Here is a 24084-nt window from a genome sequence, read left to right as displayed (position 1 = left end):
CAGCAGTAATTAAGCAGGCAGATGTCTTCATTGTGGTGCGATTGGCCTACTTCTCCACAAGCTAAATATCTTTGCCCATCTGGACGTGGTCAATGACCTACTTTTCTCAATTCTACCAGTATTGTACACTAACTCACAAAAGTGAAAAGTAATCTAGTTATTATGAGAGGAAGTAATGCAGTTGAAATGATGTATGATATTTAGCAATTAATCTTACTTAGATTTCTCATACATTATGGGTAAATATACTTTCCTATAAGCAATTTTATGTTGAGTCTCAAATTTAACCCCAATATATGACAGAAAAGAAAGCCTAGTATGAACATATAAACATACATTTTCTTTTCGTTTTTACATCTTAACATTTTATTTTATTATTATTATTTTGAAATGGAGTCTTACTCTGCCACCCAGGATGGAGTGCAGTGGCATGATCTTGGCTCACTGCAACCTCTGCCTCCCGGGTTCAAGCGATTCTCCTGCCTCAGTCTCCTGAGTAGCTGGGAATACAGGCGCCTGCCACCACGTTAGGCTAATTTTTAGTAGAGATGGTGTTTCATCATGTTGGCCAGACTGGTCTCGAACTGCTGACCTCAAGTAATCTGCCTGCCTCAGCCTCCCAAAGTGCTGAGATTACAGGCATAAGCCACTGTGCCCAGCCTTAATTTAACATTTTAAACATGGTTTTGAATCTGCCTCCCCTTAGCGGATACTTTACAAAGATAACATAAATTTACTGTTTCTTATGAAAATTTCAGAGAATGTTCTTCAGCCTGAGTCTTAGGCAATGTTGTTTGCATCACCCTGATGTAAAATTGTTCAATATTAGATGTTTACGTTAACATTAAACTCAAAATGGATATCTCCCTTAGGCTATTCACTATTATCCATCCTCCATGGAATGTTCAATAGAAATTTTTTTGGTTTTGTTTCATTCTTCTATATATTCATTCATAAATATACAACTTTAATACACGAATTCACCAGAAAAATACTTACTACTTACCTATCCTGTGCTGAGTACTTTGTTGTTTAGGAGCAATAAACATGACTGTCTTGTAAATGGATAGTCAGAAACTTACAATCTTTAATAACTTGGATGTTTTGTCATCCTGTAAATATAAAACATAACTTAATATTCTGACCTAAGTTCTAAAATTTAAATAAATAATCGACAATATAGTTTTGTCTCAGTCAGATAGACTATGCTATTCTGCAATAACAAAAATTCCCGAATTTTCCAAAGATGATGATGATGAAGTTGATATTTTGCTTATGCTACATATCCATTATGGGTTACTGGGGAGGAATAGGAGAAGTGTTCTCTGCTCATGGTAGATATTCGTGGAGATTAGCTGACATCTGGAACATTGCAGGTCATGAGCAAACTGGGGAAAGAGATGTATGGATGGCCACACATTAGCAATTAAACGAGCTGGCTCAGTAATAATAAACATCACTTCCTCTCACAAGGGAGCAGGTAAATCTGGTCACACGGTCCCATCCAACCATATAAAGACCTGAAAGTACAGGCCTACCATATACATCGATGGGAGAAAAACTAGAAATATTTGTCAAATAGCACAAGAACCAGTAGTACTTGACAAATCGTCCCACTTAATGATCACTGAATATTTGGATCACCTCAGTTCTCTCATACAAAGCATATCTAATTGATGAAGGTGGCTACACTAAACAACTGATTTTCACTGTAGAACAAACAGCCTTCTATTGGAGGTAGATGCCATGCAGGACTTCCATAACTGGAGATGAGAAATTAATGCCTGGCTTCACAGCTTCAAAGGCCAGCCTGGCTCTCTTGATGGGGGTTAATATAGCTAGTAACTTTAACTTGAAGCCAATGCTCATTTACCATCTGGAAAATCTTAGGGCCTGTAAGAACCATGCTAAAACTACTATGTGCTCTAAAAAAGGAACAACAGGCCGGGCGCGGTGGCTCACACTGTAATCCCAGCACTTTGGGAGGCCAAGGTGGGCGTGATCATTACCTGAGTTTGGGAGTTCGAGACCAGCCTGACCAACATGGAGAAACCCTGTCTCTACTAAAAATACAAAATTAGCTGGGTGTGGTGGCACATGCCTGTAGTCCCAGTTACTCAGGAGGCTGAGGCAGGAGAATCGCTTGAACCCAGGAGGCAGAGGTGGCAGTGAGCCGAGATCATGCCACTGCACTCCAGCCTGGGCAACAAGAGGGAAACTCCATCTCAAAAAAAAAAAAAAAAAAGCCTGGGTGACAGAACATCTGTTTACAGCATAGTTTGCTGAATATTTTTAATCCCCTGTTGAGTTCTACTGTTCAGAAAAGGAGATTCCTTTCAAAATGTTACTGATCATTAACATTGGTCCTGGTCACCCAAGAGCTCTGATGATGCACAAGGAGATTAATGTTTTCACATCTGCTAACACATCATTCATCGGTAGACCTTGGGTCAAGGACTCTTTTAGACTTTCGAGTCTTATTATTTAAGACTGTCAGTCTCTGCACTTCACCATTGTGCCCCAGATTATTCATTCAACTGGCATGAAGAGGGGTATGGCGACTGTGGGATTTGAACCATCATTTAACAAGATATAGGAAGTGAATAGCATTTGCTCACCATGACTTTAGTTTTAGTTTCACCTTCCAAATTAGGCTTCTATACACTTCTTAAAGTTTTATTTAAGTTGTACTTTCATCAGCATACACAGTAGTAACAAAGCCCTTTCTAATAGTCGCTGTATTAGCTACCTTGTGGCTGTTAATGTTCATGCTCCTGCAAGATCCTTTCAAATCCCTTTTTGTACTATCTACTTCCCTTTCCCTTCCAAGCATCAGTACTAATGCACAGCTCTTTAGTCTTCAAGCTGCTGAAGGAGCTTTTGCCCACAGGTGAAGAGATTTTAAAGCATCTGGGACATCTGGGAGTTGATATGCTCATCCCTCCCAGGGTGGCCTTTAATCAAGGACTGAACAGTGTAGGAGTATGAAAGTTCACTCCCTTGCCTGGTGTAAGGATAACTCAGACGTAACTTACTCTCCAGAGTTCCCCAGGAGGATCGTGCTGAAGCTATCCTCTGAGGGGTGTTCACCTGAGATTTCACTCTTCCTTGGCGTCCGCTGTCTTCCCTTAGATCATTTTCTTAAATTAATCAAAGATACATCCTCATCTCAGAGCCTATGTCTAACTTAAGATACACCTATAGTAGAGACCTCACTGTCATGCCAAAATGTTGCCGTCTGGTGGCAAGACTATCAGAGTTCTTTGCATTCACTTCGTGACCTTTCAAATAAAAGCATTTTCCAAAGTGTGGCAACTTTCGATCTTGAAAAAAACCACAGCTACTCACAGTGTAAGATGCCCGTGGGGGTGTGGCTCTGGGCCTGGAAAAATTAGAGCAGTCGACACTGAGAGGAGGCGAGCAGATAAGAAGTCTTCTGAACCTCACTGGCTCCCATACTGACGTCAGCATTGGTGGATTAGTTTGTCGCCCCCTTCAGCCAATCGGATTGGTGTCTCTTTGCTGCTTACCTACTGCCTTCTCCGACCGTCCGTCCTCGGGGCAGGCGTGCTCTCTTCCCTGAGCTTTTAGGGGTTGGCTTTTCCAGTTCCAGATCAGCTACAGCAAACATCGTTCGAGATGTCCCACCAAGAGGGCAGCACAGGTGGCTTACCAGACTTAGTGACTGAAAGCCTGTTCAGCAGCCCAGAGGAGCAGTCTGGAGTAGCAGCGGTGACGGCGGCCTCCTCAGACATTGAAATGGCAGCCACAGAGCCATCGACCGGAGATGGTGGTGATACCAGGGATGGTGGTTTCCTGAACGATGCCAGCACAGAAAATCAAAACACAGACTCAGAAAGTTCAAGTGAAGACGTCGAACTTGAAAGCATGGGTGAAGGTTTATTTGGTTACCCGTTAGTGGGAGAGGAGACAGAAAGGGAGGAGGAAGAAGAAGAGATGGAGGAGGAAGGGGAGGAGGAAGAACAGCCTCGGATGTGTCCACGATGCGGTGGCACCAACCATGATCAGTGTTTGTTAGACGAGGATCAGGCGTTGGAGGAGTGGATTTCCTCAGAGACATCTGCCCTGCCCCGATCTCGCTGGCAAGTCCTTACTGCTCTTCGCCAGCGGCAGCTGGGTTCAAGTGCCCGCTTTGTATATGAGGCCTGTGGGGCAAGAACCTTTGTGCAGCGTTTCCGCCTGCAGTATCTTCTTGGAAGCCATGCCGGTTCTGTCAGTACCATACACTTTAACCAGCGTGGCACCCGACTGGCCAGTAGCGGTGATGACTTAAGGGTGATAGTGTGGGACTGGGTGCGGCAGAAGCCAGTACTGAACTTTGAGAGTGGTCACGATATTAATGTCATCCAGGCTAAGTTCTTTCCTAACTGTGGTGATTCCACTCTGGCCATGTGTGGCCATGATGGACAGGTACGGGTAGCAGAACTAATTAATGCATCATATTGCGAGAATACTAAGCGTGTGGCCAAGCACAGGGGACCTGCCCACGAGTTGGCTCTGGAGCCAGACTCTCCTTATAAGTTCCTCACTTCAGGTGAAGATGCCGTTGTGTTCACCATTGACCTCAGGCAAGACCGGCCAGCTTCAAAAGTTGTGGTAACAAGAGAAAATGATAAGAAAGTCGGACTGTATACAATCTCTATGAATCCTGCCAATATTTACCAATTTGCAGTGGGTGGACATGATCAGTTTGTAAGGATTTATGACCAGAGGAGAATTGATAAGAAAGAAAACAATGGAGTACTCAAGAAATTCACTCCTCATCATCTGGTTTATTGTGATTTCCCAACAAACATCACCTGCGTTGTGTACAGCCACGATGGCACAGAGCTCCTGGCCAGCTACAATGATGAAGATATTTACCTCTTCAACTCCTCTCTCAGTGATGGTGCTCAATATGTTAAGAGATATAAGGGGCACAGAAATAATGACACAATCAAATGTGTTAATTTCTATGGCCCCCGGAGTGAGTTTGTCGTGAGCGGTAGTGATTGTGGGCACGTCTTCTTCTGGGAGAAATCATCCTCCCAGATCATCCAGTTCATGGAGGGGGACAGAGGAGATATAGTAAACTGTCTTGAACCCCACCCTTACCTACCTGTGTTGGCGACCAGTGGCCTAGATCAGCATGTCAGGATCTGGACACCCACAGCTAAAACTGCCACTGAGCTTACTGGGTTAAAAGATGTGATTAAGAAGAACAAGCAGGAGCGAGATGAAGACAACTTGAACTATACGGACTCGTTTGACAACCGCATGCTTCGGTTCTTCGTGCGTCACCTGTTACAGAGAGCTCATCAACCCGGCTGGAGAGATCATGGAGCTGAGTTCCCAGATGAAGAAGAGTTGGATGAGTCTTCCAGCACCTCAGATACATCCGAGGAGGAGGGCCAAGATCGAGTGCAGTGCATACCATCCTGAAGGCCTCATATCCAGTCCAGCTAGATGCCACCTAAGTACACTGGACTTTAAAATTCAGTTTGACTAATTTAGAATTGTCAATTGATTAACAGATTTGCTTTTTGTCTTCTGTTTTTGTTACCCCTTATATGAGTGCATACACAACTTATTTATGCCTCTTTTCCTTTGTTCCCTTATAATTGACCTCTAAAATTGCATAATTTTGTTGAAAAAATTAATGGCCTTATTAGATGTATCTACTCATTTCAGACATTCTGAAAGCTATTACTTTTTAGTTTTTTCATTTTTTACCAATTTATTTTGAAGATAAAGTTCTTCAGTTGAGTTGAAAATTTCATAAACGTGTTTATTCTTTAGAGGTAAAATAAGGCAAACCATAGTTCTTTGAATACTGACACACACATACACACAGTCTCAGAAAAGGAAAAGAGAAGTAGTGTGTAGATTAATTCCTAACACTTGGCCACACACACACACAGCTTCAAAAGTTGTAGTAACAAGAGAGAAGAATAAGAAAGTGGGACTGTATACAATCTCTATGAATCCTGCCAATATTTACCAATTCGCAGTGGGTGGACATGATCGGTTTTTAAGGATTTATGACCAGAGGAGAATTGATGAGAAAGAAAACAATGGAGTACTCAAGAAATTCACTCTTCATCATCTGGTTAATTGTGATTTTCCAACAAACATCACCTGCATTGTGTACAGCCACGATGGCACAGAGCTCCTGGCCAGCTATGCACACACACATACACACAGAGCCTTAGAAAAGGAAAACAAGAAGTAGTGTGTAGATGAATTCCTAACCAGATAATTCATCTCCTCAGAGCAAATAACTTGGGATTATCCACATTTTCTGAATCAATATGTTAATAATATTGATTAATTTGAGCACACTGAAGCTGGTAAGAACTAAATTAAATTTAATCACATGACATTGTTTACTCTATGCATTAAATGTTCTTGAAGTTTTATGGTTGGGAACTCCCACAGGATTACATTCCAGGAAGTCCTCCTGGCGCAAGCATCTCCTATAAGATACCAGATAGGAATATAAAAATCTCTCATATTTGAAAACATTTATTTTAATTAACTTTTAAGAATAAGTTGCAATAAAAATTGTTTATACTTACACATAACCATTTGATACAGTTGGTAGAAAAATCCTATTTAACATCCATGCATTGCTTAAAATTTAGCTGTTTTATGAGTTTGTTTTGAAAATTGTTGCAATAAAAATTGTTTATACTTACAAGTGATGTAGTTGGTAGAAAAATCCTATTTGACATCCATGCATTGCTTAAAATTTAGCTGTTTTATGAGTTTGTTTTAAAAATTGTTGCAGTAAAAATTGTTTATACTTACAAGTGATGTAGTTGGTAGAAAAATCCTATTTGACATCCATGGATTGCTTAAAGTTCTCTCAGCTGTCCTCGAGTTTAAATTGTTTTAAAAATTGTCTTAAGCTTTACTTAATATAAATTTAAGTTACTAGATGTTAAATTACTGTTCAATAAAAATATTCATTTTTATTTTATATGTGTTATTTGTGTAAATGAATTCAGAAGATCACCTTTTCCCCAACACCGATGAACTATACCACACCATTTTTTTGGGGAGGGGATAGGGTCTCACTCTGCCACCCAGGCTAGAGTGCAGTGGCACAATCTTGGCTCGCAGCAACCTCTGCCTCCTGGTTTCAAGTGATTCTCCTGTCTCAGCCTCCTGAGTAGCTGGGACCACAGGTATGTGCCACCACACCCGGCTAATTTTTGTATTTTTGGTAGAGACGGGGTTTCATCATGTTGGCCAGGTTGGTTTCGAACTCCTGACCTCAGGTGATCCGCCCGCCACAGCCTCCCAAAGTACTGGGATTACAGGCATGAGCCAACACATCCAGCCTATACCACATCATTCTTTGCAGAATTTTCTTGGGAAAGAAAGATGTAATGAAACATCTTGTGTCCTAACAATGGCTTTTCTTTGATAATACTTCTTGAAATGAGTATTATTTCAAGAGTTTTGGGGAAAATGTAGAGTAATTTGCAAAATGAGATTAGAATTTAGAAAGGAACGTAACGACTGAAGTTCCTGCTCACTGAGATCCAAAGTTATGGACAACTGCCCGGGGGTCTGGGAGCCTCAAGAAGCCCCTACCAAGGTCTGCTGTCAGGAAAGGATCTTAAGAGTCCCAAAAGAGAATTTATGGGCCATAAGAAGAGAGTTATAAACTAGAATTCCAAGTTTGGGGCATCCCGTATAACTTCATGGGACGCATACCAGCAATAATATTAACAAAACATTAAAAACATCATTTGGTATTTCAAGTGACACTCGGTGTCAATGAGAGCAAAAGTGAAAGCAGATAAATTACGCAGTTCTTTTTCCACCTGCTGTTTAGAAGGTCTGCCTCTGTGGGGATTTATATTCTGCTCACTTAGCTAAACTAAAACTTTACTCAGAGTTCCCTGAATGGTTCTGAGATTGCTTGTGCTACCAGAGGCATTTGGTAAAAGAATTGGGAGGCAAAGGTAAAGTAGTAGCCACATTTGTTTTATGCTCAGAAAGGTGCTGCTGCAGCTCATGAATATTTTTGCTTATATCCTGGCTTACCTTGGTGTGAGGCAGCAGTTGGGCCCACAATTGCTCCAGTTCTCCCTCATATCTTCCTCCTTCTTCACCAGCTCCATAAAAAAGAACGCCCACTTTTTTTTTTCAGGGCATTGATGTCATTGAAATTGGAGGTTTGGAGGCAGTGGAAGATCAACATGGGTCCCAGTCAGTCCTTGAGAGCTCCAGATAGTCCTCATGGATTCCATTTATCCTTGCTTCCTCTGCTTTGCATCATCTCCTCTTCCTGACTTCCCTGCTGACTTCAGGTTTCAGCATCTGATGCAAAGACAAAAGCCTCGCTGAGACTGATTAACCAGTTTCCACAATTCAATAAGGCCTAGACCCTATTATAAGTCCCTTCTTATATGTGAATCACTCTGAGCGTTTGTTTCTCTGATTGAACCCTGACTGATGCAACCTCCCCCACATGCTTTGGACTGAATAAATCCCCTGGTTACTTAGACTTGAACGTTTGCCATCTGGAGCAATTATAGGTCCCTCAAGGGAGAAATTGAACTTGATACACACACACACACACACACACACACACACAATTCTTTTAGTTTTTTGCATGAAGAATTTTTTACTCGCCTTTGCATGACATTTTGACAAAGCTACACAGTTCTCCTTCCACCATATCTTTTATTTTAGTTTTAAATAAGTTAAATTTACAAAAAAGTTACAAAAACAGTACAGAGAGTTCTCATATTCCTTTCACCCGGCTTCCTGTATCATTAACATCTTCTTAACAATAGTATAATTATCAAGACCAGGAAATTAACAATATTAACTATATTATAGAGCTAATTCAAAATTCTTCAATGTTCCCATTAATGTTTTTATTCTTTTCCAGTATCCAATAATATACGTTAATTGTTGGATCTCCTTAGCCTCCTCTCATGTGTGACTTTTTTTTTACTCTTTTCTTGTCTTTCATGACCTTGACAGTTTTGTAGTGTACTGATCAGGCATTTGGTAAAATACATCCTATTTTGAGTTTTCCTGATGTTTTCTTATGATCACATTGAGGTTATTCATTTTGGCAAGAATACCACAGAAGTACTGTCTACAGTTATTTTTGAGATGTGTGTGTATGTGTGTGTGTGTGTGTGTGTGTGTGTGCACGCGCGTGCGCATACGCATGCGGGGACTTTGCTGTAACTGTTTTCTTCCCATCTGACACTGAGTCCTGAAGCTAATGCCTCATATTTGAGGTTTTTCTTATGGCAGTACCCATTTTCTAGTAACCAATTTTGTGGCAGTCACAAAGGACTAGATTATGTTATAAAGACTACAACTGGCATATCTCAGTGCTTTAAAAACAAAGGTTTATTTTTTACTAATGCTAAATGTCAATCACAAGTTTGCAGAGGGGCTTTGCTCCTGGTTGCTTCTCAGATATTCAAGCTGATGAAGCATCCACCACTTTCGACATTTCTGGTCATCAATGCAGAGAGGAAAAAGAACTTTGGAGTATCTTACATCAGCAATTAAATGCTTCAGCCTTGAAGTGACACATCATGCTTCTCCTCTAAACTCATTGTTTCAGTCTAGTCACATGGCCCCCCCTTAACTATGAAGCCACCAGGAAGAGCATTCCTACCATGCGCTTGGAAGCAGGGTACCAGAAATATTTGAAAAACAGCATCAATGATGACCACGTTTCTACTATGATGGTTTGTATATTTTAAAATTATTTTACAAAATCATTTTCTGACTGCATTTTATGCATAATAAAAATTTTGAAAAAAGCATAAAGGATAAACACCAAATTATTCCTAATTCAACCTTCAGAAGTTATGCATGAGTGTTTATGTTTGTTTCCTTGCATCTGCTTTTTCTGTGTGTGTGTGTGTGTGTGTGTGTGTATGTGTGTGTAATCAGGACCACACCAGAAACAGAGCTATATACTGATAAATTTCACTTATTTCGAAAATCTTACCATTTCAGCACAAATTCTTTGAAATGACTGATTTATTAAATAACTAAATACTACTTCATTGCATATATGCAGACTTTTTTTACATTTTTCTTTTTAAGACAGTCAATTTTAATATTCTCCTATTATAAAACTGTGATAATATAATCTATTAAGATACATTTATTCTGTTTTTCTAGTTATCAGCACAGCATATAAAAACTGGATATAGTGTCATGAGATATTGAGGCTTATATATGGTCGTTGGTTTATTATTATTCCTGAATTATGCAATCGTGAATAAATACAGTCCTTGCTATACCACACCTCATACCACATAGTGTTCTTACCTGCAAAGCAATTTAATTCCAGAACATCACCATCCCCACAGATGAATTTTAAACCATCTTTTAAAAAATAAATGTTTTGGTGTTCATCTTCTTGGCTTTTCCAAGCATATTGTTATGTTATCTACCGATTCTTGTGGTTTTCTCTTATTTAAAACCTACACTATGGCAATCATGAGAATGAGGCTTTCAGAGGTCTAACTGCGGGGATAATAATTGACAGAGGTCCTCAGCTATTGCCTTCCATTGTGACATTGGCACAAATGCCATGCTTCTCATGAGCTGTTCCCAGCTAATGACAGTGTGGCAGAGATGCTAAGACAAACCCATTCTGGAAAACACAGGGCTCTTCCGACAGCCCATTTTGGCTCAAGGACTGTTGAAATCTTCTTATAACTGTGCCACAGTCTAATACATTTCCTGCCCAAATTTATCTCCTTTTCTCTCCTGCACAGTGGTTGGACTTGCACCACAGTGTGATGAGTCTTCCAGCTCCCTCAGGATTCCTCCCCGTTTTTCCTTCACAGGCATTTTCTCCAATAAATTTCTTGCATGTTTAATCCCATCTTGGCATCTGCTTCTCAAAAGACAGGAGCTAACATATACATCATTTGGGGTTTGTTTCTATTCTCTTTACATTAGAAAAAGAATGCTATGTTCTTTACTTTCTTGTTTTAGATTTTAATGACCAAGATTCTAGATATTTGCCATGAACCATGTGGTTGATCAGAGTAAAATGCACAGTATCATAAGGAAGAGATTAAGGAACAGGTTTCATTGGAGAAATTTACATGGCAAGAGTAGCAAGAGAAGGCCTGTATATTCTGATTTTTCCATCTTTCCACAAGGAGCCATGCCATGGTCAGTCATATGGAGGGACACTTCCTGTTTCCTACTTTTCCTTGTTAGAGGTCAATTGTGAGAACAAACTCATCACTGTGGGAACAAAATGTTGTGGTACTAGGATATCAAGGTTCTCTGGGAAAGCTAGCTGCCCTGCCTTTGGAAACACTGAAGTTCATGATAAGTGTGTAGCCCTGCTCTCAATAGTAGGAAGTCATCCATCCCTGGAGAAGCTGAGTAAAAGTACACCTCCTCTCCCTGGGAGTAGGGGGTGCTCTAGGTCTCAGCCAACTAATTGCTTAGCAAACTGAAATGAGTTCCCAGGATCATACCTGGACATTTTTACTTATTGCTTGCTCCCACTTTAAAATGTTAATTACTGTTAGTTCAACTCACTACTTTTCATGATATAGAGGTGTCCTTATATTCATATTATATTAACAAAATTTCTAATAGTAAGCAGTCTTTTCATTCCTGAAATAGCTCTATTTTTTTTTCTCAGCAGATAAGTCACTTAATGAATGACTGAGGCTTTTTTTCATGAAATCAGGTATTCTCATTTAAATATACTTGAGATTGGACTATTATGAAACATGGTTGCATGGAGGTATGTGTATGTGTGTGTGCACATGCGCTCCTCTCTGTCTATTACCTTTGTCAATTACTGATAGCCTAATTGTGCTCCATTCAAAAGCATATTGCTTGGCTTTCCATTATTTTATATAAGATTAAATAGTTTATTTAGCACGGAACTGATTATATCAGAAAAACAACACAACATCTTTACTTAGAACTTTTTTGAGAATCTTGATACATTTTTCACTTTTTTCCATGTTAGTTAATTGGTTCAGATTTTGTATACTTATGTCATTCTAGATAATTTTTATTTTCCATATATATTAATTTTTTTCAAATTGATGGAATGGACGTATTATGTCTCTATATTTCTAAACAGCACTGAAGTTTTTCTCTTTTATGCTTCAAATTATATTTATCAATGTTTTCTATCATTATTTAATTTGCTGAAATTTCACGCATAAAACACTTTCAAAAAACAAGTATTCTGCACTTAATTTGCCAAAATTTCATGTATGAAATACTTTTAAAACTAGTATTCTATTTATTGTATTATAATTGACTATCCATAATTTATGAATTTGTTTCAAATTTTCTGATTTTTTGATGATTTTCTTGTTTTTTCTTTCTACAATTGCTATCTAATTAAATATTTTTTATAAGGAACATATTCAAACCTATGAACCTTCTTTCAATGAATAGTGCTTTGATCACATTTCTTATATTTTAATCAGTAATATTCTCACTATTTTCTGAATTGCCCACGGTTATATTGGCCTTATGCTTTTCCAATTTACATATTTTAGATATTAAAAATAATGCATGCTTGTTTTAACAACTGAAGTAATACAAAGTTTACGAATAAATGTGATAACTTCTCTCTCCACAGATTACCAATGTTAATCAGTTTGTTCAGTGTCCTTTTGCATCTTTTTTGTGCCTCTATGGATATATTCAAAAGTATTCATAAATACATAGTTGCTTCCCTTCATCAAGGTGTTCACAAAAATGAGATCATTCTATACATATTACTAAATGATTTTTAAATGTTATTTTTACTTAGTAATATACTATATATTAACCTTGCATGATAGCTCATTATTTTTAAAGAATCACTTAATTTTTCTTAGTATTGATGCTCTCTATTAAAGGATTTAGGCTCAGGCTGAAAATTATATTTCTCAATTATGTTCTGTTACCTTTTGCAACTAGTGAGATTCTTTCTAGGTTCTTCAATTAGTTTTAGTTAATTTAACCTGAGGTATAGTGAAGTTTTTTTTTTGCTTGTTTTGCTTTGTTTTATCTTTGGCTCAACAGATACTACTTGGAAAAAATATGAAAGGAGGTATGTTGGTAGCCATATCCAGTTTTAAGTTAGGATTCTCTCTAACTTTTGTATCCATGTATAATTCTTTTTGACAAGTCTTGCTTCTCAATCCTCTTCATTTATGACAGTTTTTGCTTTTTCAAATTAAAGTTAAAGCTACAAAATCAAACTTCTCAGCAAGATATACAAAGCCCTCCGTTATATCTCCTCCTCTTCTCTCTCCAATCTCTTCAACAGCCACTTCCCATTTCCAAACAGACACTCACGCACTCCCCAATCACTTTCCACCCCTAAATTATTCCTTGCTCTCCTGGACCTCCTTATCTAAATCCATGTTTTTCTTTCTGCCTTGAATATCCTTTCTCTTTTTGTGTTTCTGATTGATTCTTGCACATCCTCAACAATCAGCTTAGGAATCACTTCTGTAAAGTTCACCCAACCCCTGTCCCTGTCCAATTCTGGGCTTGTTTCCTTTGCAACTGTCTACAGTAGTACCTATCATCCTGTTGCTGCTGCATCTGACAGCCCCAAAAGTATTTATTAAATTTCCCTGACTCCTCACATTCTCATTATGCATCTCTTCTTTGTTATCGTGAAAAGCAAAAATCAGTAGCACATATCACAAAATTTAGCATTTAAACATAAATGATAAAGCATATGAAAACATATTACATATTTACAAATTAGATAGTATGAATATAGATATAGATAACGGATACTGATATAGACTTAAAGTCTTAGATATCTAAACACAGAAAGCAATTGTAATCATCCATCAGAATCATTTGCAAGTGATTGGTGAACTGTAAATTTCTGTAGAAATGATAATTATTATCCCTTAGGTTTACTAATAGTCTCATTATCTAGTTTTTTTAGGAATAAATCTTTAGTTAATAGGATCAGTCTAAATTACTGAGGAAATCAAAGCATAGCCTTGGAAGGTTTACTTTGTCTACAATAAAAAAATTAAATTTCATTTTTTCCTTAAACATAATATTGGTGAACTTGTTCTATTTTGTAATGAGTAGCTTGAGTCTAATAAAGGAAATTTTAAAATTTTGGTAGGTTAAATAGAAAAATAACATAAATGATTAAAAAAAGAAAATCAATGATTCAAACTATATCCATTTACATACTTGAATATAGTGAACAACATGTGTCTTGTTTGTCTCTGTTTTCTAGAACACAGATTGGTACATAGAAAATACGTAATAAATACTGGATGAAAAAATTTTGCACCGGGTTCTAAAGGAGAAAAAATCACAGAGTAAAATTATTTAAGTTAAAAATAAATCTATTTCCCCAATCATGATCAAGTACTTTGCTATGTGTTTACCTTGAGTTTGGATAAGTTTAATACATTATTAAATATGCATTTTATTTTACAGGAATCTTGCATCATAGATTAACTTGAGTAAGCACATTAATGATTTAATGTACAAGTAAAAGCACCAGTGGGCGGTGGAACAATTCATTTAACCAGCTAAGCCTCAGTTTCCTCCTTAATAAGATCAGGAATTTGGATGTGATATTTCTTTTGGCTCTGACATTCTAAATTTCTGTGATTCTACATTTTACTTAAATAAAAACAAGTTCATTAGACAACCTGGGTTATATTGGTTATAAATGGGAAAACATATACTTAGTTCACAGTACCAAATAATAAAAATAATTTATTTGATTATGTCCTTTGTGGTTCATTTTTAATCTTACTTTCCAGAAAGCATGCATATTTTCTTGGTATTAATTTTATTTTTATCTTGCAACTATAGAAGAAAAAAGTGCCAATTACTTTTGTAAAAGGTGTAAAAATGACTGTGTAGGAGACTTGCAAGTTATAACAATGTGGGAATTTCTGTTTCTAAATTCAGTGTCTGTTATGGTTCCCAAAGGATTGGGAAGTGTTTTAAAACACTGTGAGAGTTCTTCTTCATGACTAATTGCTATGAAGAATATTGTGCTCATATGGTATTAGTATTTATGATACAGAAAATTCAAATCGACATTTGGTAGTAGCCATCTCACATTTTTTAATTGTAAAAAAAATTTAAATTTGCTGATGCACGGTTTCTGTGGGACTACTTTTCTGAGCTTTATCTCAAACGTTGCAAACCACTGGGAATAGTATTATCTGCTCCTCACATAGTCAACAAATCTAGTGTTGGGCTAATTTCAAAAAGTTACACACACTAAAGAAAAAAATTGGTAGAAAATTAAAGGGAAATAGGAAGCCTTTTTTATTTTGATAAAAATAATAAGTGCCTAATAATTTGAGATTTTATTTTTGCTCATCTATGCAGCACAAAAGATATCGGGGAGGGGGGTTGCTCTGTTTATTTAAAATGACATTTGGTAGGCACATAAACCTTATCAGGATGTATTTTAGTTAAATTCCTTAAAATAATTCACTTCTGGGAAAAAAGCAAGCAAGAAATTTCAGCCCCCAAAAGTAATTTTTTCACGGCAAGTAACTGAAGCAAGGATTTGGAAGGAAGGTGCCATCTGAACTCAAGTTGTAGCACTGATAATTTCAAGCCCGAGGAAAACTGATTAGTGTTTGCTCATCTTGGAAGACAGGGAAGTTCTAGGTAACAGAGGGAGGAAAAAATGTAGTTTAAAAATCTAAATGTCTATACTTAAAAATAAATAACACAAATTACAAAAAGACAAAGAGGTTTATTTTCATTATCATGCAATCATATGTTTTAAAGTCTGAATTGGAACCCCTTGAAGTAATAGAACTTACTTGAGGAAATTCTAAGTGCCTCTACTGCTACAGAAAGTCCTAGTGTGTACACAGCCAGAGACAAAAGTCCTAGCTGAAAACTAGACTGAAAGTGGCTCTTTAGATTGTTGCATAACTTGACAAACGTGCTAAAACACAGAGCAGCATGCCTACAAGGATATAGTTGTTCATTATTATGCATACTTTAACTAAGCATGATAAATGAATTTTTTTTCAGAAATGCTGAAAACTTTCTAAAACATGGAAAACAGAACGTTAATGCAGGAAACAAAACTCAGTGACATTTAATTACTCTCCACTTCTTACCTCCCTTTTAAAGATTTGGAAACTGAAGCTTTGGAAGGATAAGTGACCAGATCAAATATTTCTTTTAGTCTACCACGGGGCTGGAATTTAATCTTACAACACTCGGCTCTTGGTTTTTTCTCTCCTCACTGTACTGACTCCAACACTCAGCTTTCCCTTTTTCTCCTTATATATTTTATGTGATTTTTTTTCTCTTCATTGTTCACTGGGTAGCAAGATTAATTAACCAAGCATGCATGTCTGGTTTCCCAGACAATTCTCAGTTGGTATGATTGTGTCCAGGATGTCAAGGTTTTACATAGTCCCATGAGTGTTGCGAGAGGAACAAGCAAAAGCCAGATGCCAGATGCCAGGACCTGCTCTTTTGTCTTCCTCCAGCCTGACATAGTCACTTTCTCTGGGATTCATTTTCTCTGGGATTCCCATACCTTGGAATCCATTTCTGCTTAGTACTCAAAATGATAAGAAAACTCAGGTTGAATTTCTCTCCTTGGGGATTACCTCCTGATGTTTTAATTGTTGACATCTTGGATTGCCTTTTCATATGTGATAACTTCTTGCTATAACTTCAGTCATGAAACATTAGTGAATGAAGTATCCCCAACCAATGGCACTGTGGCCCAACTGTGCAGTCTAGGGGTCAGAAGATGGGGCTCTGGTCCTTCACCTGATTTCTAATCCATCACCATACATAGACCTAGGGTGACAGATGGCTCTGGAACATAGTTGTCAAGAGTTCAAACTCCGAGTTCAAAGTTAGCATGTTTTTAGAAAATAAAACATGCTAAGAGATTAACTTAAGTGTTAATTTTAAGGGAATAACTTGAGCGTTCTGTGCCAGTTTCCTCATCAACCAAAAGAGATAATAAAAAAAAACATAAATCGCACAATCATTGTGATGAAAAAAAAAAAAAAACCCAGCAATTTACGTGAACAGTTTAGCATGTGACAAAGAGCAGCATTTGATAAAACTTATCTATTATTGTTATCATTATTGTGGTGGCTGTTTCAATATCCATACAATAATTGCTACCACTGTCTCCTCCCTCCTAGAAAGAGTTTATTGAAATCTGCTTGTACGAGCTACTAGATATATAAACTCTGGATCAGTTATTCACTCTTTCACAGGCTGGTAGTCCTCATCTGAAAAATGCAGACTGTATATGATAATTGCTTTTAAAAAATAATACTATGTGACAGTTACTAAGAGGGTGTGTGCCTGTTTTTTCCGGCCTGGTGGTGGTGTGAAGGTAAGCATTATGGAAAAATGTGTGCAAAGCAGGAGCCAGAGGAGGCAATGGGAACTAACAGGGAATTCAGAATCCTGAAAAGTTCTTAAGTAAATAATTTAGTACTGGGCATAATTGTGTATTTGGCAGTACTTTGGGAAGTTTTGTATATGTGACTTAGAAAATCAAGTGACCAAATGAAAATATAAGATATCTGTGTTACCCTGTTTAATGTAAAACAGCATCCATGGCAGTTTGCAGCTGCTTGTGGGTTTGGTATGTATTAAAAGCCCAAAGGTTTTTGGAAATTTGAATCCTCATAGCTAATAAAGAACACAAATTAAAATGATAATGTTGCAGTTTCAGTAGGCTGGGTTTTGGATTATTTTGTAATTACAATGTTATGGTTTTCTGTTACGAAAATAGCAACAATTCACTAGGCCAGTAAAGCCTAAAGTTGGTGGCTTGCCAATTATGGTGATCACATTGTTTGATTTGCTCCTGTGGTTGCATAAGAGTTTGAGTGTTTCTGAAGGAGAAACAGAAGAAAAAGAAAGCTTATTTAAATAATATTATCCAGAAGTGGAAGAAGAAGAAGAAGGAGAAGGAGAGGAAGAGGAAGAAGAGGAGGGGGGGGGGAGAAAGGGGAGAAGAGGGAGAAGGAGGAGAAGGAGGAGAAGGAGAAGAAAAGCCTTTCCTGTTGTTCGGGGCTGGTATGTCTATGGTCTATAAAGGTTCCTTCCAGAAATACAGCTCACTTGGGAGATCTGAAATGACACCATCAGTGATTACACTTGTCTTATGTTTGTTTTTCAAAATACACATATGTCTCCAAAAGATAGTATATCAAGTTGCTTATATTGTGAGTCAGTTTCTTACTAATTGTTTTTTTCTCCCAGAGCTAAAGAAGTGGCCGAGAGAGGAAGCAGAGAAGAAAGGAGGGTGTGGTACATTATATTATTGTTCAGAAATATTTACTTACTCTTGCCTCCCCCACTTAAGAAGTGGAGTATATTGCCCCACCCTTGGATTTTTTTGGGTTTGTCTGTGTGACTTGCTTTGGCTAATAGAAGACAGTGAAGTGATAGTTTGCCTAGTTTGAGCCTTGGTCTTCTAGGCCTTCTGTTTTCCTGTTTGCAGTCTTGTGCTTCTGCCATTGCCATGAGAACACCTCTGAGCTAGTCTGTCAAATCAACAAGGAGGAGGACAGATACACTGAGCAGAGCTGCTCCAGCCAAACCCAGCCTACATTAGGTGAACCCAGCTTATGCACTGAGGGATAAGAATTCGATGCGTAGTGTTATGTGTAATCTAGATTTTGTATTTGTTATATAGTGTATCATAGTGATAGATAACTGATACAGTGGGGCATGCTGAAAACCAGTTTTGCCTACCATCTCCAATTTTTCAAGTTCCTTTCTCCTTATGTTAGGTCTGGGGAAACTCGATGAAAGCAGTGTAGTATAGATATAACTCTGCTAAAGTCATTAAGCATTTTCCGGGCCCAAGTAAGACAGCCATGATTACGTTTCCTCTTGTGTTGCGGGAAGTCAGAGACCCCAAATGGAGGGACCTGCTGAAGCCAGGGCAGAAGAACATAAATTGTGAAGATTTCATGGACGTTTGTCACTTCCCCAATCAATACTCTTGTAATTTCCTATGCCTGTCTTTACTTTAATCTCTTAATCCCATCATCTTTGTAAGCTGAGGATGTATGTCACCTCAGGACCCTGTGATAATTGCGTTAACTGCATAACCTGTTCATAAAGCATCTGTATTTGAACAATATGAAATCTGGGCACCTTGAAAAAAGAACAGGATAACAGCAATGTTCAGGGAACAAGGGAGATAACCATTAGATCTGACTGCCTGGAGCCAGGCAGGACAGAGTCATATTTCTCTTATTACCGAAAATGGGTAAGAGAAATATCGCTGAATTCTTTCCCCTGTGAGGAATATTAATAATTAACAGCCCTGGGAAAAGAATGCACTCCCAGGGGGAGGCTTTTAAAATGGCGGCTCTTGGAGTGCCTGCCTTACACAGTTGTAGATAGGGATGAAACATGCCCTGGTCTCCTGCAGCGCCCCCAGGCTTGCTAGGATTAGGAAATCCCAGCCTGGCAAATTCAAGTCAGACCAGTTCTCTGCTCTTGAACCCTGTTTCCTGTTAAGATGTTTATCAATGACAATGCGTGCACAGTGGGACATGAAACTTCATCAGCAATTCTAGTTTCACCCTGGCCTTGTGACCTTGCCCTGCCCATTTGCCTTGTGATCTTTTATTGCCTTTGAGGCATGTGATCTCTGTGACCCACACCCTATTCATACACCCCTCCCTTTTGAAAATCGCTAATACAAACTTGCTGGTTTTGCGGCTCAGGGGGCACCACGGAACCTGCCAACATGGGATGTCACCCCCGGACACCCAGCTTTAAAATTTCTCTCTTTTGTACTCTTTCCCTTTATTTCTCAGACTGGCTGACACTTAGGGAAAATAGAAAAGAACCTACTTTGAAATATTGGAGGCTGGTTCCCCCAATACTCTTGAAGTATATCAAATTGCCTCCTTTAAGTTTGATGTTTTTTAGTTGTGTCTATTGTTTTTATTCCACATCATTCCATGAAGAATCTCTTAAGGCAGATGATCAGTGAGGGAAGTTTTGCTCATCTCTTTTGCTCTAGTTTTCTTGAATCTTCTCATGGTGATTTATATAAGCTGACTCTCTCTCTAAGATTGTCTATTCAAATTCCAGATCCTTAGTCTTAATATTTTCTTCTTTCACTCAGTGCTACTTGTGATTTTGTATTGTGTGGAGGGAAATATAATTACTGGGACTTCAAAAAAGTATATGACAAGGAAACAGAGTTAAGCACATTTATCCTTTTTTATCCTTTCAGACATGCTCTTTCACTAACCTGTGAAACTTAACAGAAAATTGGGCACAGGGTAATCGCATCTTGAAACTCTTTTATTCATGTGCACATGCATGAGTCATTAAGTAAACACAAAGAACTGTAAGTTAAAACATTAACTTCCTTCTTCTCTCTTTATCCAGGTGAACCCTGCCACAGTTTTGTAAAGGGGAGACCCTAGAATTTAGTTCTTTGATAAGCTATAAAGTTTTAGTATGTTGAGTGTGTTACCTGCAATAAAAAAATCTGACTTTCTAAATGTCCTCAATGTTTCAGTAGGAAAAACAGAACTTGAACAAGACTTTTCTACACATCTCTGGTATTTGCATGGTTGATTTAAAAAGAAGACCACTTGTCAATTTTGGCTTTTGTTGCCATTGCTTTTGGTGTTTTAGACATGAAGTCCTTGCCCATGCCTATGTCCTGAATGGTATTGCCTAGGTTTTCTTCCAGGGCTTTTGTGGTTTTAGGTCTAACATGTAAGTCTTTAATCCATCTTGAATTAATTTTTGTATAACGTGTAAGAAAGGGATCCAGTTTCACTGTTGGTGGGACTGTAAACTAGTTCAACCATTGTGGAAGTCAGTGTGGTGATTCCTCAGGGATCTAGAACTAGAAATACCATTTGACCCAGCCATCCCATTATTGGGTATATACCCAAAGGATTATAAATCATGCTGCTATAAAGACACATGCACACGTATGTTTATTGCGGCATTATTCACAATAGCAAAGGCTTGGAACCAACCCAAATATCCAACAATGATAGACTGGATTAAGAAAATGTGGCACATATACACCATGGAATACTATGCAGCCATAAAAAATGATGAGTTCATGTCCTTTGTAGGGACATGGATGAAGCTGGAAATCATCATTCTCAGCAAACTATCACGAGGACAAAAAACCAAACACCGCATGTTCTCACTCATAGGTGGGAATTGAACAATGAGAGCACATGGACACAGGAAGGGGAACATCACACACCGGGGACTGTTGTGGGGTCGGGGGAGGAGGGAGGGATAGCATTAGGAGATATACCTAATGCTAAATGACAAGTTAATGGGTGCAGCACACCAACATGGCACATGTATACATATGTAACTAACCTGCACGTTGTGCACATGTACCCTAAAACTTAAAGTATAATAATAATAATAATAATAATAATAATTAATAAATAAATAAAAAGAAGAGCACATTGTTATTTTTCAAAACATAGTTTTCTCTCATTCAGGTCTCCTCCCTTTATAGTGTGATAACTTGACAATTCTGAATTACAGTGTTTTTCCTTCCCTATTATTCACTATTAATAACATTAGAGAACCTTTATATGTTCTAAAAATTATTTTTTACTCCTACTTTTAATTTTGATCCATTCTTCACTTAATAGTCAAAGTGATATTTTAAAAATTAAAATCACATTGTCTCATTTTTTCACTAAACTTTTCAATCATTTCCAATTGCACTTGGAAGAAAATTTAAAGTCTTAAACATAGTCCTAAATTCTCTATTTCTTCTACTTATGTCAACCTTCCTGTCTTTTACCATATGCTCTGAAAATCCCTTTTCTGAAAAAACTGTTTTCCCATTGCAGGCTTTAGCCATTCATCTGGCTAATTTTCTTCCAGGTCTCAAGTTAAATATCACTTCTTCATAGGGTCCTTCCCAGATGTCTCTCTAATATAAATTGGGCTCACCCTATCCTTTCTGTACATGTCCTTCATGGTGTTACCAAAATTCAGGATGATATATTTATTTGTGTGAGGTTTAATATCTGAATCTCTTCCATATCAAAAGCTACATGGTTTAGGAATTTTATTACTTTCTTAAAGACTCAATTCAAGGCAACATTTCTTACAGAGAAGCATCCTTTTATGCTGGTCTTTGTTCCTCATATCAGTCTCTGTTCTTATTTCATCTCAACATTACTCAGATTAACCTTCTCCATTTTGCAAACCTTTACACTCTTGTATCAGCTCTAAATTGTTCTGCTACTCTGGCCCTGATGATGCCTTGTGTTTTTTTGTTTTTTTTTTTTTTTGAGGTGGAGTCTCGCTCTGTCGCCAAGGCTGGAGTGCACTGGTGCAGTCTCAGCTCACTGCAACCTCTGTCTCCCAGGTTCAAGCAATTATCCTGCCTCAGCCTCCCAAGTAGCTGAGATTACAGGTGCCTGCCACCATGCCCAACTAATTTTTGTATATTTAGTGGAGATAGGGTTTCACTATGTTGGCCAGTCTGGTCTCAAACTCCTGACCTCAGATGATCCACCTGCTTCAGCCTCCCAAATTGCTGCAATTACAGGCAGGAGCCACCACACCTGACTGAAGATGCCTTCAAGTTAGAGAAAATTCTATGCTCCAGAGCTTAATATCTCACCTCAACTCCATCACCTCCATCATCCTTGCCCAGACAACCTCAGCAACTAGTGGGGTTTAGATGGGGAATTGAACATTCAACCTCTAGCCATCATTGCCCAGCCTCCTAATTATTTGTGAACAGCTGGATGGCATTCATCTCATCCTATCCTTTCCATGCCTAAAAAGTATGAATTTTCCAGATAAAAATCAGAGGTGAATTAATAATAGACCAAGGCAGAGGGGGGTGAGAATCAACCTTTCCCTCTTCCTACTTGTAATAACAACATTTCTTCAGCAAAAAAAAGAAAAATGTAGATGCTTCCAAGCTTGAAGTTTTATGGTTGTTTTTTCCTCATATCACATCTATCATTAAAGGAAGAAAGGTGGAAAATATCTCTTCTACCCTGTAAAGGGATTGCTGGGGTTTGCTAATGTCCCTACGGCCTCTACCTTTCCTTCTCCACCCCCAAAAATGTGATCATGACAATCACTCCTATCTGATCTTGCCAGCAGGAGAAAGGAAACAATAATCTAATAAACTTCCAATTTCTTTCTATTGGTTCAACAAGTGAACTGAAATAATCCAACATTTCAGATTCCAGGGTGGCCCATGCATTTTTTTTTTTTTAAGATGGAATCTCACTCTGTTGCCCAGGCTGGAATGCAGTGGTATGATCTTGGCTCACTGCAACCTCCGCCTCCCAGGTTCAAGCGGTTCTTCTGCCCCAGACTCCTGAGTAGCTGGGACTACAGGCACATGCCACCACGCCTGGCCATTTTTTTTTTTTTTTTTTTTTTTTTTTTTTTTTTTTTTTTTTTTTAGTGGAGACAAGGTTTCACCATATTGGCCAGGCTGGTCTCCAACTCCTGACCTCGTGATCCGTACCCCCAAGCCTCTCAAAGTGCTGGGATTACAGGCGTGAGCCACCACACCCTACTGGCCCATGCTTTTTTAACCAGAGGCTGTGAACCTGCAATAAAAACATCTGACTTTCTAAACATGCTCAATGTTTATTCTTTAGTGTATGCATATGTCTGTATGTTTGGTGTTGGGGAGGGAGGGAGAGGAAACAAAGAAGTAGAGCACCCCACCTGAGTCAGTGAAAATGGAATTTTGTAGGGTTAGTTTATCATGATGCACCAAGGACATCCTCTTCAGCAAACTAACACAGGAACAGAAAACCAAACACCACATGTTCTCACTCATAAGTGGGAGTTGAACAATGAGAACACATGGACACAGGAAGGGTATCAGGGGAACTAGCCTCCAGTATCTCAAAGTAGGTTCTTTTCTATTTTCCCTAAGTGTTGGCTGGCCTGAGTAATAAAGGGAAAGAGTACAAAAGAGAGAAATTTTAAAGCTGGGTGTCCGGGGGAAACATCACATGTCGGCAGGTTCCGTGACGCCCCCTGAGGCACAAAACCAGCAAGTTTGTATTATGGATTTCAAAAGGGGAGGGG

The 24084-nt window shown here is 38.3% G+C and overlaps 1 protein-coding gene and 1 long non-coding RNA gene across 2 annotated transcripts in view; one reads left to right on the top strand and one right to left on the bottom strand.

Moving 5' to 3' along the window:
• LOC105373151 (uncharacterized) overlaps window positions 1-1090 on the bottom strand; it is a 67568-nt gene extending 66478 nt beyond the window's left edge. Inside the window, exon 1 of the long non-coding RNA XR_950539.2 lies at window positions 1007-1090. This is a non-coding gene — a long non-coding RNA (uncharacterized LOC105373151). The remainder of the gene's footprint in view (window positions 1-1006) is intronic.
• Window positions 3525-6982, top strand: DCAF8L1 (DDB1 and CUL4 associated factor 8 like 1). The gene has a single exon (NM_001017930.2). The coding sequence runs from the start codon at window positions 3640-3642 to the stop codon at window positions 5440-5442; it is 1803 nt and encodes a 600-aa protein (NP_001017930.1). The 5' UTR covers window positions 3525-3639; the 3' UTR covers window positions 5443-6982.

The sequence above is a fragment of the Homo sapiens genome, chromosome X (genome assembly GCF_000001405.40).
Source record: "Homo sapiens chromosome X, GRCh38.p14 Primary Assembly".
Taxonomy (NCBI): domain Eukaryota; kingdom Metazoa; phylum Chordata; class Mammalia; order Primates; family Hominidae; genus Homo; species Homo sapiens.
Note: the sequence above shows the minus strand (reverse complement) of the source record. Positions and strands in the feature narration are given on the sequence as shown.